Source organism: Homo sapiens, chromosome 8 (assembly GCF_000001405.40).
Source record: "Homo sapiens chromosome 8, GRCh38.p14 Primary Assembly".
Classification (NCBI taxonomy): Eukaryota; Metazoa; Chordata; class Mammalia; order Primates; family Hominidae; genus Homo; species Homo sapiens.
In genome coordinates this window covers 2957568-2973689 of record NC_000008.11, presented here as the reverse complement: position 1 = coordinate 2973689, position 16122 = coordinate 2957568, and the positions used below count along the sequence as shown (strand labels likewise).

Here is a 16122-nt window from a genome sequence, read left to right as displayed (position 1 = left end):
CTCCTTTGACTTTTTTTTTTTTTTTCCCCACATTCCCTGTTTACCTAAAGCCCCATTTTCCTTTTGCTCTCTACCTACCTTTTCAGTGAAGACGTGATGCATTTACCATTCCTGGCATTTTCCTCCTTCCAAAGGAAACGTCGTTTATTCTCACAACCATATTTGAATAGGCTATTGTGAAGTTAGTAACATGGGAGCCACATCCTAAATTCTTTTCATTTTGGGGCTATCACAAAGAAATTCTTTCTTACAAGATTGCAGAATGTTGTGTAACCATAACTCATGTGAAACACAAATTTCAACAACTTTTCATTATCTTTAAGTGTGACAACTCTGCTTAAAACAAGTCTAACACAATTGTGGATTGCCGTATGTGTTTGTTTTCAATAGGAAATAATCCTGGATTCTGTGGTGATCCGGGGACCCCAGCACATGGGTCTCGGCTTGGTGATGACTTTAAGACAAAGAGTCTTCTCCGCTTCTCCTGTGAAATGGGGCACCAGCTGAGGGGCTCCCCTGAACGCACGTGTTTGCTCAATGGGTCATGGTCAGGACTGCAGCCGGTGTGTGAGGGTGAGTAGCCAGAAGCCTTAAGGTCCACCTTGAAAGTTAAAACCACACAGCTCGTTCTAAAATGCCTGGCAAAATTCTACAAAAATTCTAGAGGTTTGTACTATTTATACAATTAAATCTTTTCCCCGCAATATTTGTGGAAGCATCATCAGAAATCATGACTGGGTGCATGGAGGTATTCCAAGTATCCACAGGTCCCATCACACGGATGCTTATTGTTTGAAAGTTCGTAACACGGAAGCTTCTAATCTTCTCCCAGTGATAATCTATATGTGGTGTTGCCAGTGTTTTCTAGATCCTGGCAGTGAGTGAGTGGGGTTCCAGAGCAGTGAGCAGGACCAATGCAGATCACTGATGGGAATTTCCGCAGGCTGGAAGCAGGCTTCCTTCACACGTCATTTCCAATCTGTTGGTGGCCCCTGTGTGTGGAGCACTCTATTTCACAGGAATCTGGGGTTATATTCTATGAACTATTTTGGAGTGGGTCTACTTGATTCTAATGTTTGAGAGGCATCGTAGGAAGTGGTGGTATGCTCCAGTAATGACAGTAAGAATAGCCACGGACACCTTATAGACACTGCACTGTGTATCAGAAATGTAGCCTCAAGCAAAGGTGAACTGAGAGGTGATGGTAACCATGTATTCGGAGTTCAAAACCCGATTTAGAATTCAGACAGATAGGAATGTAAATGTTAGGAATTCTTTACAAGCAAACTCCTCAATTAAATTTTCAGTCTAAAAAGGTTATACAAATTAATTCAATATGTATTGTTGTATGTATGAAACACTTTCCAACCAAATAATTTTACCAACTTGAGTAAGCTCACATACACACTATCAATGTGAGAAATTTAACTTGAGTTTCCTTAATCTTCATTTATTGTCCTTGACTATACTGTCTCCACTTCTGCCTTTATTGTATTATACATTCTATATAGGTAAATAGAAATAATGTATGTATATGATCTATCTATATTATATAATCTATGTAACATTAATTTCACATATAAAATAACGCTAAATATTAATATAGGAATGTTTGTGCATATATTTGCATATTTATATATTATATTTACCCATGCATAGTGTATATATTTTTTCTCAAAGACTATTTTTGACTATATATGTATATATATGCATATAATATAGGCATACACATATGTGCACACAAACATGATAATCCAAGATAATTTTTTACTCTGAATTGCCTCTTGACAATCAAAGTAGTATAAATCTTAAGACTAGGCCCTAAAAAAGTTGTCTTAGGTCAAATACCACTGATTAGTAGTGAGAAATGGTTACCCATAGTCACGAATTGCAGGATCATACTTTTGTTTTTAACTGAAGTATGACACTATAAATTGATATAAATTTGTTAATCAAATGCAAATGTTTTCAGTTCCCTCTCATCTTGTAGATATTTCAGTATTAAAATTTGCACATGAGAGCAATGTTTTCTCACCAAAACCAGAGTGTTTTCTACTCTTTCATATAGTACTTCAGGTAAGCAATCCTATGGGATAAACCATTATCACCAATATTTTAACAAGGTGATGTTCTATCTTCCCGATATGAGGCACTGAAAAGAGACATTGTCATTTCTATGGTATTGCCAGTGAAATGCGTAACCTGAATCGAGTCCTGAAGCAGCAGCAATAACATCCCCCAAAACCCTAGGGGCATGCAGCAAATCAGCTTGCCCGTGTTCACGAAGAAACGTCAAGTTCAGAAAAGACACCGTCTGAGTGATTCTTTCAGATTTAAGAGACCCGATAAGTGCAATGTGTGGTCTCGGATTGGGTCCTACACTGAGCAAAAGAGAGTTATGAGAGGCGTTACCGAGATGGTAGAGTCTGACCCTGAGATGATCTAGGTGGCGAACTGACACAGGATCTTAAGACAACTATTAAAAATATGTCCAAGAGCTTGAAGTGAATTAGATTATGGGTGTGTATGAGACAACATTGCATCAAAGTTACATTTCATTCTTTTAATAATTGTATTATGGTTATGTAAGAGAATGCCTTTGTTCTTAGGAAATACATACTGATATATTTAACTCTAAAGAGTTGTCATGTCTGTAACTTACACTCACATACCTTAGAAAATACATATTTAGAGAGACAGAGGGAGAAAAAGTGAGCAAAATGTAAACAGTGGATGAATCTGACTAAAGGGTGTGTAAGAATGGCTTATAATCTTTTTGTGAAGTTTGTTTAATCCTGTAGTTATAACAAAGTGTGGAGTTACAAAAAATGTTGCCAATAAATTAAAACAATTTCCATAGTAAAATTTCAACGTTTCTGTCAAATCCCATTTAACAGTAGCTTAATGTATCTGTAGCATTTATCATTCGGGACTTTTGGAAAGCACCATGGTGGGTTTGTGAATTGTGACATTTTGGCTCTAGACCTGATTCTATGTAGTGATCACAAAGTCTTGGTTCTGGATCTTAATTCTCCATTGTTTAAAAACAGAGAGGCTGAAAGATCACTCATCGGCAGTATTTTAATTGAAATTTAAAATATTTCCTCAATAGTTACAAAGAGGGCTGGATGTCAATAAGTGAATGCTGGAATAATTATTCAGACTTTATAGATATAATCTGATGCTGATTAAAAGCAGAACTATCCTTCTGTTTTCAAGAATATTAAATGCAATAATTGAGCCTAAACCCTGGTTTGCAGCCTGAACTTGGTGTATGAAGAGCAGAGACTCTGACACTCCCAGAAAGTGGAATATGAAATATTCTATCAAAGATGGCCATTCACTTGAGACTGTACATTCAGTATCATGTTTACCTCAAGTATTTCAGTTTTGAAAACTTAAAAGATGAACAAAATTATAACAGTTGAGGGTGGGCAATGTTTTTCCTTAGCAATCTCACCTCTGTGGGGCTATGAAGGCACACTATGAGTTCTAGTCCAGCAAAGTACACATTAAACAATTTATTTGAATGAGAGCTTAATTGCGTTTCACTTCCCAATCTATCTAACTCAGGCAATGCAAAGTATTTTTAAAAATTTTATTTTGCTTTCTAAAGTTAGACATTTAAAAGTTTTCTATGAAAAAAAATTAGAAACTTAGCCCTTAAAAGCTGCATACACAAAATAAGTTACAAAAATGTTGCAATGCTGAAAATATTTCTCAAATATATCATGCCTCACAAAATTGATTACTTCTAAAACTGCATTATATGATACGGACATCATGGGAAGCTGAATAAGCCCACTGCAATATATGTTACACCCAATAAGGCAACAAATTATGTATAAAAGTCATAAAATCAGTGACTGAACACACACACACCAGCAAAAATTTGAAATACATTTTGGAGAATCTGTAGGTTTTCATTTTGTTCCTTGTTTGTTATCATAGGTCCAAATCACTGAAGTGTGAGTTCCTCTCGATGAAAAAGGATGTAACCAGTGGTTGCATTTCCAGGAAGCGTAGCTTCTATGACTAGCTATGACTTGACTAATCCCCTAGTTAAGATTATTGCAAACCTGATGAAATTATTTCCTCTAAATCTGTCAAAAAGTTAGATACTGATGGTAAATTGAATAAATTATAAAAAGGAGGAGGAAATTATAATTCTAAACGAAAAATCTTTTTAAATTCTTCAACTCAAAGAATTTATATTGCAGATATATTTCCTTCACATTAAATCAAATTTGCTTTTGTTAGCCATCTAGTCTTTTAATCATAGGCTCAAGCTTAAGATTTCAAATGGATCTATCTCATGAAGTTGCATTACATAACTAAAATATTTAGTTTCAGCTGTATTAGGGAACTCTTAATTCTCTTTCAGATGAAATTATGATAAAGCTACACTTTACTCAATAAGTAAGAGTGATGATGATGAAAATAACAATAGCATAAGCTACAAGCTAACTCATTGCTACCACTAATACATCAGATCTCACACTAGGCATTTTACATATAGCGTGGGTAATTTGGTAACAGCCGGGAATAAGTATTTTTATAATACTCATTTTATGGTTAAAGGCACTATATCTAAGGAATTTAAATTGATTGCTCAGGTTTATTTAACTTGCATGAGCAGATATTCACATCTATTTAACTCAATTTAACAGCAATTTTTGTCATGTAGCATGCAAAATGAACAGTACTAATATTTGTAAATAATAAAGTATATTTAAAATAAGCATAATATTTTATTATATGCTGAGTTAAAGAAATTATGTTTTAGCTGAAGAAGTCACGTTAACAAAATGTACTTTTTATAAAAGCATATTTCAAAAGAAAATAAACTCAGGAAAGAGAAAATATGGCAAAGTTTAAACTTACAGGTTAATTTATTTTTCTTCTTCCAGTTTACTTTTCCTCTTCTAATTTATTGTTCTTTTTTCTCCTCTAAATTTAATCTATTGTTTTGTTTTAGTCTTAGTCCTGTCTTATAATTTTACATAATTGCATTGATAGAAAAGCGGATATGTTGACATTGCCTTCTAGTCATTTTCATAGTTATAACCGTGAGTGAAAGTGGTTTTTGTCAGCCAAAAAAAGAGAAAAAAACTAATCATGAATTTTACTTTCCACAGTACAATATTTGAGGGGACATTCCCAATATTAGGATAGCATTATGCTGGTACTCATTCATTAACAATATTAGCAAACTAACATTTTAGTTTCCTTACAAACTGAATTGAAATTTTTCATCGGTTATTTGACTTGTTTAAGTATTGGTTCTACCTAGGTGGCTTTTGAAGATTTAGACATACAATTGAATAGCAAATGTAATTAGAATACAATGTAACAATAACATCAGTGTCCTCTTTCGGTTTGTTAAACTATGAATTGGACCAAACTCACTCCCTTTCTGTGACAGGCTTTCCATTAGCCCATCCACACAGTACCTGTTGCACAGTAAGTGAGGAATATGTGTTTGTTGAATGAATAGTTGTCTTGGATAGTCCAACCCTTAATTATTGCAAAATGAAATTTTGATATATAGTATAGTTATCATAAAACTTTCAAGTTTTAGAGAGCCTTAAATAGTATGTGCTTCTGGATTGGTAAATACATCCCAACTCATATGCCAACCAGGAAACTACTAATAGGTCTGTGTTAGAAGGGGTTGGAAGTCACACCGTGAACCATCAGAGAAGAGGGCTGTGATTGAGTACTTCTGTCTGCCATTGGCACGGGACCAGGAAGCACCAGCGTGTGCACTTTGTATTATTTTTTTCAAACAAGATCCAGTTCAACCTGAGCACAAGTGCTTTATTTCTATGTAATCAGAAGGGTAGTCCCTCGACTCCCAGTACAGTGACTTCTCTGTGCTGAGCAAATTTTGCAGGATGTTTTCTTCCATGTTCTTTTAAGAAAAATATATCTTTGTTCTCCAGGCCAGATTTGAAATTGTTTCAATTAAATGTGCAAAAGTATTTTTAAATATTTTGATCAGCTCAGAGGCAGTCTCATGATATATATTCTTGTTAACCAGCCAAGGGTCACTTCCTTTATTTACCTGCCTATTGTATATTATTGCAACAGTACTAAGGAGAAAATGTAGCAATCTTTCTGGTAAATAGGCTCGACTAAAAAAGGGAAAAAAAAAAGTGTAGATTGAAATGTTCACCCTGAAACGTACCCAGCGGCAGCCGAGCTTGCTTTTGTTTACTGACTAAAGAGCGTAAAAAATAGGCACAGAGTGTAGACCTGTTGCACTGACCATCGTTAATTGAGGCCTTATTGCCTGTACATGGCATTAGGAGCCTTTTGAGAGAAATGTAAAGTTCAATCATGTCAAAGCCAATTAACACAGCTGCTATTAGAGCTGGTAATTATTGAGGACACCATTTTACAAAGCAGTTCAAGTACAGTCATTCATACTTCTGAGGCATTCTTTATTTTCCAAAGTGAATTCTCCTGGAGATGTAAAATAGGACCTGAATTGCCTAGATTTTAAAAAAATACAGTGATTACATAAAGGAAGATGCTTCAGTGTTGCTAATATCATAGATATTCTTTTTTAAAAATCACAACAATTCTGTCACGGCATTAAAAACATTCAATCCCCAAATAGCAAGGCTATTAAAAACATTCAGTCCCTGAATAACAGGGCCTTGAACTTTTAGTGCTTTAACTCATGTTTTAATTTGTTTAGAAATAGTTCACTTTAGAAAAGACGAATTGAAAGGTTATTTTTATATTTGTAGCTAATCAGTAAAATAAACATATGAGCCATAGTAAGCCATATGTTAAGGAACTTCCATAGGATTGTGTGCTTTGGGTTTGTAATAAATGTGTAGTCTATTGCACTGATACCCATTGGTCTCTTGTGTTTGCCATTTTCATGCTGGGTCACTCACTGTGTGTGGTGGTGTTCTTGTTTGCCTAACAGCCGTGTCCTGTGGCAACCCTGGCACACCCACCAACGGAATGATTGTCAGTAGTGATGGCATTCTGTTCTCCAGCTCGGTCATCTATGCCTGCTGGGAAGGCTACAAGACCTCAGGGCTCATGACACGGCATTGCACAGCCAATGGGACCTGGACAGGCACTGCTCCCGACTGCACAAGTTAGTAAGCAGACATCATGGTAGACTCAGACGTTACTATGAAATTCACTCCATTGGGAAAAAAAATGACTTTAAGGTGTTATACTGTTTTTTTATTTTTAATTCATAGAGGAAAAAAGGGAAAACTATGTGTGACATTGTGGCTGTATTTCTTAAGTACTTTAAGATTTTTTTTCCAGTTGCTTATTCGTATGGCTGAAGCTACTTTAAAAGGCCAGTTCAGTCAAACATTGTAAAATTGAGACCAAAAAAGTCCAGACTTTGTCTGTAGACCACTGGGTCTGCAGAGAAAGAAGAAATGTCTTTGGTTCTCTGGCTGCAGGCTTCATCTTTCTGATTATACCCCATGCCTAATTAGGGGCTAGTCAAGGGGTGGAAGTCAGCATCTGACAGCCAGCTGCCAACGGAACAGAAATCAGTGATTCTCAAAATACAAGTGTTCCTTCTGACAGCGGGTCAGTGAAATCATCACACAGAGGGTAGTATTGCTGTATTAATTCACTGCTTAACCACTGTGAATAGCAACTCAGAGAGAGTATCTTGAATAGAAATGGTGACTAATTCATTTCATGGTAAATGAATTTCTCTGATTCTTTCCTGTTCCCTGTTTATTAGTTATAAGTTGTGGGGATCCAGGCACACTAGCAAATGGCATCCAGTTTGGGACCGACTTCACCTTCAACAAGACTGTGAGCTATCAGTGTAACCCAGGCTATGTCATGGAAGCAGTCACATCCGCCACTATTCGCTGTACCAAAGACGGCAGGTGGAATCCGAGCAAACCTGTCTGCAAAGGTTTGTTTGGTGACTCTTTGGATTTTACAGATGTGTATAGAAGTCTTTATTGAATTATGCTTTGTTTAATTTTGCAAGCATTTATGTAGCCCTTCTAGGGGCTAGGAATTCTTGAACAGCAATTTGCAACTATTAAGTCACTTTATTTTTATAATACTTTAATCTCAGTTTTACAGATGGAAAAACTAACTCATAGCGAGGTAGAGGAAAAGGCTTAGGATCACAAACCAGGAACTGGAGATGTCGGGGTTCAGTGACGGTCACGCCACCCTAGAGTCTGTGTCTGAACCCCAGTGCTTTGCTGTCCTGGGTAAACCTGTGACCCTAGCTGTGTGAGGTGTTCGTGGCATGGTGAATCTAATTGTAGGAATTTAGAGGCAGGTTGGAGAGACGAGCCAATCACCTAGTAATGGCAGAGCACTGGTAGAGAGTGTTAGCACCGTGATGTTTCATGGGGTTTGGTTGCCGAGACTGAAGATGACACTGGCCGAGAAGGCAGGAAGAGGTTTATGACTTATGTGACTGGACCCTCTGGGCAAATCAAGACAGGCTCAACTCATCAAGGTGGCTTCAGTAAAGCAGAGTGAGTGGGCTTGGCTCTTACAGTGACAGGGAGCAGGGCTGAGTGGCGGCTGTGCAAGGGCCAGGGATTTGCGTGGTGACAGTTTATTTACCAGAAGCAAAGAAGAACTATCCAGACTTTCTTATCAGCTGGTGCAGAGGAAGGACAAGAAGAGGGGGAGAGAGGGGCTTGAAAGCTGTCAGTGACCAAACATAAGAAGATGGCATTCTCCTCCTTATTAGACTAGGAACAAATAAAATACTGAGGGAGGGAGAGTTAGGACACTCAGTAGCTTATGGAGAAGGTTTCATCTTCGGTGAGTTCTGCAAGACACATGGTTAAATGTGGCAGAGGCTTAAATGTGACCTGAATGCTCAAAAATATGGCTTTCTCTCTCTTCTGACATGGGCGTGTTCTTGGACCATCCTGCTTTCGTCTCCCAGTAGAGTCAAAGGATCTCATTGCCTTCCCTTCTTTGTATTGTAACTCTTAATACTGCACCTGTGATATAGCTGACGCTAAATAAATGTTGAATTTGAATGAAAATGCACTACGTTGTGTCGGCAGTATTCAGGTCAAATGGTCATGATGGAAATTGCCAATAAAATATGCTTCATGCATAATTCTGTGGATTTTTATCCTCTTTCTAGTACCCATTGTGTTTGTAACAACACCACGGCCAGCAAGTCCCTACCAGATGGGACCTCTTTCTCTCTCTGTCCCTCCTTGAACTTGTCTCCTCCCATTCCCCCTGCCCCCAGGGGACCCATGTAGCTCAGGTCTCTTCCAACTGGGGCCTCCCCCTGGACATTCCCTTGGGCCAGAACACGCATTTCCCCAGCCCTCGCTGTGGGGTCTCAGGAAGGATTTGTTGAACGAGTGAACAGATCAGTAGAAGGTGGAGTGGTGAGGGAAGGACCCATTTCCAACTTTTGGGTGTGCACATGTGATTTGTGTGTGTTGGCATGTCTTTCTCACGTGAGAAGGCATGAGCCTGAACACACAAAATGCAAGCGGTTGTTCTTTTGTAGTGCCTTCTGCTACCTACAGGGTCACTTGGAAACTTCCATTCATTTCAAAAACTAGGGAAGTTGTGTATCTTCAGAGAAGAAGGATTTTAGACAGTGGTTTTTGGATTTTTGCCTCCCTTTGTGCATTTTAGTATAATTTCTAGAGTGGGGAAGGTGATCTCTCGTGACATCACCCTCGGGGAAATCCTCCCTAGCAACCACGTGCTTGCTTCTCAGCCCCATAAAGTGGACATCAGGCTCCAAGGCTGTGATGAAACACTTGCAAATGGTATTCCACAGCATCTTCTTTAACCATTCAGGCATTTCTAAAAAAATATATTCAGTAAATAGATGGACCGACTGTGTCTTTTGGAAACTATATGCCATCTTTAAATAAAAAATACAGATGGCCAGAAAAATTCTTACCATCTGTGCCTATAAATTTGTGTCATCTGACCAAATCCTCATTCGAATTGTCTTTGGTAACCATCATAAAAAGACACAAATTAAGCAAGAACGTTTCTTCCTTTCTTGGCCTTGTATATATTGGGAATGTCATGTTCAATCCTATATGTTTTGACTTGACTTTGCTTTTATAGACTTCATCGATATTAATGAAGAAATATTCTAAAAAATATTTTGTTATTTTGATGTACTGTCTTCCTTGGCAATTCTTTTATTATTTTTTTTTAAAAACCTATGTAGATGTCATTTGTAATTCAGGTAAAATTAAAATGGGAATCGTTTGAACATCACCGCTGCAGCGGGAGCTCCGGAATGTTGATCTTGTTTGTTCTTTGGAAATAGCCGTGCTGTGTCCTCAGCCGCCGCCGGTGCAGAATGGAACAGTGGAGGGAAGTGATTTCCGCTGGGGCTCCAGCATAAGTTACAGCTGCATGGACGGTTACCAGCTCTCTCACTCCGCCATCCTCTCCTGTGAAGGTCGCGGGGTGTGGAAAGGAGAGATCCCCCAGTGTCTCCGTAAGTTCTACAGCAGAATTTGTTCCGCCCACTGCAGGTCTGCAACAGGGACGGATAACCAGGGCACATCCTAAGGTTACAATCTGAGGACCTTCCTGGTGGGTAATAATAGCCCTAAAATACACAAAAACTCAAACTTGAGACTGTGTTGCCTAAGGGCAGAGTCTCCTTTTTGAGACAGGTCCTCACTCTGTTGCCCAGGATGGAGTGCAGTGGTTCAATCATAGCTCCCTGCAGCCTCAATCTCTCGGGCTCAAACCATCCTCCCACCTCAGCCTCCCGAGTAGCTGGGACTACAGGTGTGTGCCACCAAACCCAGCTAATTTTTGTATTTGTTGTAGACATAGGTTTCGCCATGTTGCCCAGGCTAGTCTCGAACTCCTGAGCTCAAGCGATCCGCCTGCCTCTGCCTCCCAAAGTGTTGGGATTACAGGCGTGAGCCACCGTGCCTGGCCTCCTTTTAGCGTTTTTCTTGTTTAATAGTTAAAGCTAAAGATTTAACAGAAACTAGTTACCAAGCTCAATTGGTGAAGCTGATCCAGGGACGTTGAAGGCTGACTTCTTCCTGGTTATCTTCCATAGCTGTGTTCTGCGGAGACCCTGGCATCCCCGCAGAAGGGCGACTTAGTGGGAAAAGTTTCACCTATAAGTCCGAAGTCTTCTTCCAGTGCAAATCTCCATTTATACTCGTGGGATCCTCCAGAAGAGTCTGCCAAGCTGACGGCACGTGGAGCGGCATACAACCCACCTGCATTGGTAATAATTATCATACAGCTCTGGGGATACCTGGGAGTATTTGGAGATGAGGACGCTTCATTCCGAAATTGGGTCATTTGTGATTACATAGAAAGTGTTTCCATAGACAGTTTTCTGTACAAGGTAATAATTTTTGCACTGAGTAGGATTGCGCACTCATCAGCTAAACTGATGTGCCACCTCTTTTAAATCATGCAAAATAAGTCAGAAGTCTGCTAAAGTAGCTACTAGACTTTGTTCTCTGACCTCAGTGGCTCTCTCCGCTGTCTACCTTAACTGCCAATTGCATTGTTTAGGGGAAAGGTGCAGGTAGGAACATTCTCTAAAGCAGCCCTCCCCAGAGAGACAGTCTTGCTGTTGTTTTATTGCTGCAGAGTCAAGTTTTATCGCTGGGTTAATTTTGTTCATTGAGATTTACTAAGCAGAATAATGGGTGTTCTACTAATTTTTAGTAAAAAAGTAATACTTAGTCTTGATTATTTTCTAAGAAATTGAATAGTATCCACCTAGAAAATATAGTATTAAAGAAATATTGTCATTGAAGCATTTTTTCTAATTAGAAGAATATTTGCTGTCATTTGATTTAAACTATTGCTATACAGTAGCTATCTCTACACTAAAAATATTTTTCTTCCCCCTAGAAGGTTAGTCACTCTAGATAACAGGTTTTAAGAAGTTATCTGTTTTGTTTTTCTACTGGTAACTGTAGAGCAGCAAGTAAGAGAGCTGAAGTGCCACTGGGTTACCCAAGTCCTGTGTTTTTTGAAAAATGTCACTCTTGGTTTTCCATGTGGTTCCATTATGAAGCATTAAATATATTTTTCATTTTGAAATGTTGAGGAAAATTAATTAAAGAAACTCAGAATAATGTAATGGGTAACCAAATGAGATGGCCAATTATTGAATCCTAATAAGCAAAAAGATAGTGATAGGTCATTATTGAAGATAGTATATCATTGACCAAATATATTTCTATAGAAAAAAAAGCCAGAGAATGGAAAAAAAATGCACTTATTCTTATATAAGAAGAACATACTGAACTACTTAAAGTCTAAAAGTTAACATCTAAAAAACATGTCTTGAAGAGAAGATAAAAGTAGCAATTTAATTTTTAACTTTCCTGAAAAACATCTTGCACATTTCTCAAAACAATATTTTCTCTATTTCATGAGACCTTTTAGTGAAAGCTGTTAAAATTCTCACAATAACTATATCTGGTGCCCTCTTTTCTTTTTAAATCACAAATTTCAGATCCTGCTCATAACACCTGCCCAGACCCTGGTACGCCACACTTTGGAATACAGAATAGCTCCAGAGGCTATGAGGTAGTTCATTATGAATTTACTATGTTTTCTTTCTGGAAATATAAAATATATTTGTTACTTAAACATATGTGAGTGCTTTTTTATATCATACCTTATTCATGTTATATTTACCTGAATAAAATTCGTTCAAAGGGGATTTCTACATGTGTTTTTAACTGTCAAAATCAATATATGTATATATATATATATATATATATATATCTTGCTTACTAGATAATAATGGAATAATGCATAATTTCATATAGAAATTAACATAGCAACTATTACATTATTTTCTATTTGAAATCATGCATGATTCTATTATTTGTCTGTTAAATTCTCACGGCAGTTCTCAGATTGGGGTAACTTGTCACTGATTAGCTACCCATAAAAGGTTCCACTTAGGGACTGGATATAGTGGGGAAATAATATTAAATTCTAGAGATAAAAATAGGAGAAAATGTATGTAAGCCCCTTAGTCTAAACTTACTTGTGAAATTAGTTCTCCGTATGATCTTTAAATTTCTATGAATTATTAGCGTACTAAATATCATTTTGGAACGTTCATTTGACTTTTAATAAAATGAACACTAACACTTCAGTGAACGTTGGAGAAATACCTAAAAGTGGAAGGTAATGAAGCTTGAAATAAAATGTTTTAACCATCTTAAGTACTCCCATAACTTCACTGTTATCTGGTTGGATGACTTTGAAAACAAAAGTTAATTATATAGGGATCTCATCAATTAAGAATAAAAAACCTTCTTCCTCAGCCACTTTCCCCATCTCTCGTGAGCACGAAAATATTCCCATTGTTCTCGCTCGGACACAGAGTGGCCATTTCCTTGTAGCTCTCTTGCATCCCACAGGGGAAGTCCTTACAGGGAGCTAATAATATACTGACTCTAGCACATTTTCTATTATGTCTCAAATATTGCCTTAAACTTCAAGTAAATACTTTCAGGTATATAAATATTTAATGCCAAATTGTCAAGGAATATTGGAAAATACTATATATGGATGTCGCTCTCACTGATTCACTAAGAAAAATAAAATTTTGATCACCATTGCTTTGAGCAATTCTTAACTTGCCTATGTACAACTTACAGTAATTAAAAGTCAATGATGACTGTATTTAGCAACATAGTTCTATAACCTATCATATGACACTAATAGGGTTGGATAAATCCTTCACCCTCCTTATAACAAATTAGTTACACTAACACGAATAATTGATTTTATCCAACAGCAAGATTTACTAATAATTTAAAGAGCCCAGACACCATGTTTTAAGGAGAAGGTTGAGACCATGAAATGCAGCTCTCCCCAAATGTTTTTATTTCTTCCTTTATTAGGAACATTTTAGTTTTTAAAGTAACCAATGAGATTTTTGTCTGTTTTCTTTAGCACCATATGCTGAAACCTTACTTACACAAAGTGAGCCATTTCAGTGTGAAATGTCCCTGTGTTAGGCTATGTTAATCTTGCAGCTTAAATGACTACCTCCCGTTCTCCAGCCAGCGTGTCCCCGAAACCCGTAGCTCCAGGGTTAGTGTATGATAATCAGTTTGCAGTGGCTCGGTATATTCTGCTAAAAAAAAAATTATTGAGAAGGAGACTGTATTTTCTTTCTGCCAGTAAATGATACAGGTTATCCATGACCTTCCTGAGAATGTCAGCATGTTTACCAGGAGGTCTGGTTGGAATTGCAAACATGCTTGCATGGAGAGTTGATGGACACCGTTCCTGATAGAGAGGAAGTGGGCTGGGAGCAGCAGCTCACGCCTGTAATCCCAGCACTTTGGGAGGCCCAGGCAGAAGAATCGCTTGAGGCCAGGAGAACAGCCTGGGCAACATAGCAAGACCCTATTTCTACAAAGAATACAAAAAATCATCTGGGCATGGTAAGGTGCACCTGTTGTCACAGCTGTGCAGAAGGCTGAGATGGGAGCTACTTGAGCCCTGGAGGTCAAGGATGCAATGAGCTATGATTGCACCACTGTGCTGTATACTCTGGGCAATAGAGAGAGGCCCTGACTCTAAAGTTTAAATCGATCAGTCAATCAATCAATCAATCAAGAGTAAATGAGTCAACGCTTTCCCATCATTGAATCTTAAATTAGCTATTGATTTGACATTTAGATAAATTTGTACTTTTCTTTATAAATTCATACTTCCACTTTATCAAGTGCTAGAAGCAGCATTTTTTTTCTCCTGATATCCTTTCACACTATTCAGTGTACCAACTATTTCCTTGCATTTTACTTGTAGTTATTCTTCCCGGAATCCCAACATGGGAGGTATGGGCTTATGCCTGTGAGAAGGCAGACACAGGGAATTAAATAACTGGTTAAAATTCTCAGAGCAAGAAACAAGAGGGGAATTCAAATCTTTGGATGCTAACTTGGTGCACTTATGTGCCTTCATAAGTCAAGCTTTAAGGAAATAATCTGGTCCCAAGCCAAGCTGGGATGAGTGCAAACCCGCCTTCCCTGGGGGCTGCTTTCCTCTCCCTGTATACATGAGTCATGCTGGCCTCATGCTGCAGATACACAGAACCATGGATGATCTTTGGTGCCCCTCAACACACGACCATAGCTCATTCTCTAAAAAAGACATTTACAGATCACAGGAATCTGCCCCTCAAGGCACCTCTGGTTAAATTAGGAACACACATGGGTGAATAAATATACAGGTAATTCCAGGACACTGTGGTGAGTGGAGCAGATACGTTGGGGAAATGCATTCAAGCTGAATGTGATTCATTCTTGGAGGATCAGAGAAGAATCTGCAGCGGATGTGCAGTTTAAGCAAAGTACAGAGAATTAAGTGGGGGTTAGCTTTGTGAAGACCTGGTGAGGAAGACGCCTCAGACATTCAGACAACAGTAAATAGTTTGTACAGTTTGAAGCATCAGAAAGACAGGTAGAGTTTTGGTGGACTCTGTATGAGTAGGAGTTGACCAATCCCCTTGGAATGCTAACAAAAGTAATTTTCTAATAAATACCAGTTGTTTCAAATGTGAGTGGCAGGAAAAAAATGAAAAAGGAAATAATAATTATTACAAACAAAAAAGAAAGAACTCTAAAACAGAAAAGGCATAATTTCTTTACCCAAACAGCCGTCTAAATTTTCAAAATTCGAGAAGATCTTACATTATTCATTGAGCAATCTACATTGTGTGTAACACTGTAGCAGGCAGTTAAAATGTACATGTTGACTTAGACAGTGGCTTGACATTAACCTGAAAAGTTGCTGCTGTACTTTTACTCGGGCGTGTACTTTCAGGTATCACTAGTTGACACTTCGTATATTCCCTTGGCCTCTGAAGCTAGTATTGGATTTCCTCTCTAGGTTGGAAGCACGGTTTTTTTCAGGTGCAGAAAAGGCTACCATATTCAAGGTTCCACGACTCGCACCTGCCTTGCCAATTTAACATGGAGTGGGATACAGACCGAATGTATACGTAAGTGTGATTTCTTCCACCCCCATCACAAGTCACCTATTTATTGTGAATGTCTGAGACGTGTTTACCACTAAGGGAAATAATGAGAAATTGTTTTTAATTCCCTAATCCTAAATTTTCGGATGTCC

At 38.0% G+C, this 16122-nt stretch overlaps 1 protein-coding gene and 1 long non-coding RNA gene across 10 annotated transcripts in view; one reads left to right on the top strand and one right to left on the bottom strand.

The window, feature by feature from the left end:
• Positions 1–16122, bottom strand: part of LOC105377785 (uncharacterized) — a 297276-nt gene that overhangs the window by 50542 nt on the left and 230612 nt on the right. The window lies entirely within an intron of this gene.
• Positions 1–16122, top strand: part of CSMD1 (CUB and Sushi multiple domains 1) — a 2059554-nt gene that overhangs the window by 2021225 nt on the left and 22207 nt on the right. For all 5 annotated transcript variants that reach the window (XM_011534752.3, NM_033225.6, XM_011534753.4 and 2 more), the window contains 7 exons: positions 391–573; positions 6944–7120; positions 7736–7915; positions 10295–10468; positions 11051–11224; positions 12476–12549; positions 15883–15994. In XM_011534752.3, coding sequence (XP_011533054.1) covers positions 391–573; positions 6944–7120; positions 7736–7915; positions 10295–10468; positions 11051–11224; positions 12476–12549; positions 15883–15994 — 1074 coding nt within the window. The remainder of the gene's footprint in view (positions 1–390; positions 574–6943; positions 7121–7735; positions 7916–10294; positions 10469–11050; positions 11225–12475; positions 12550–15882; positions 15995–16122) is intronic.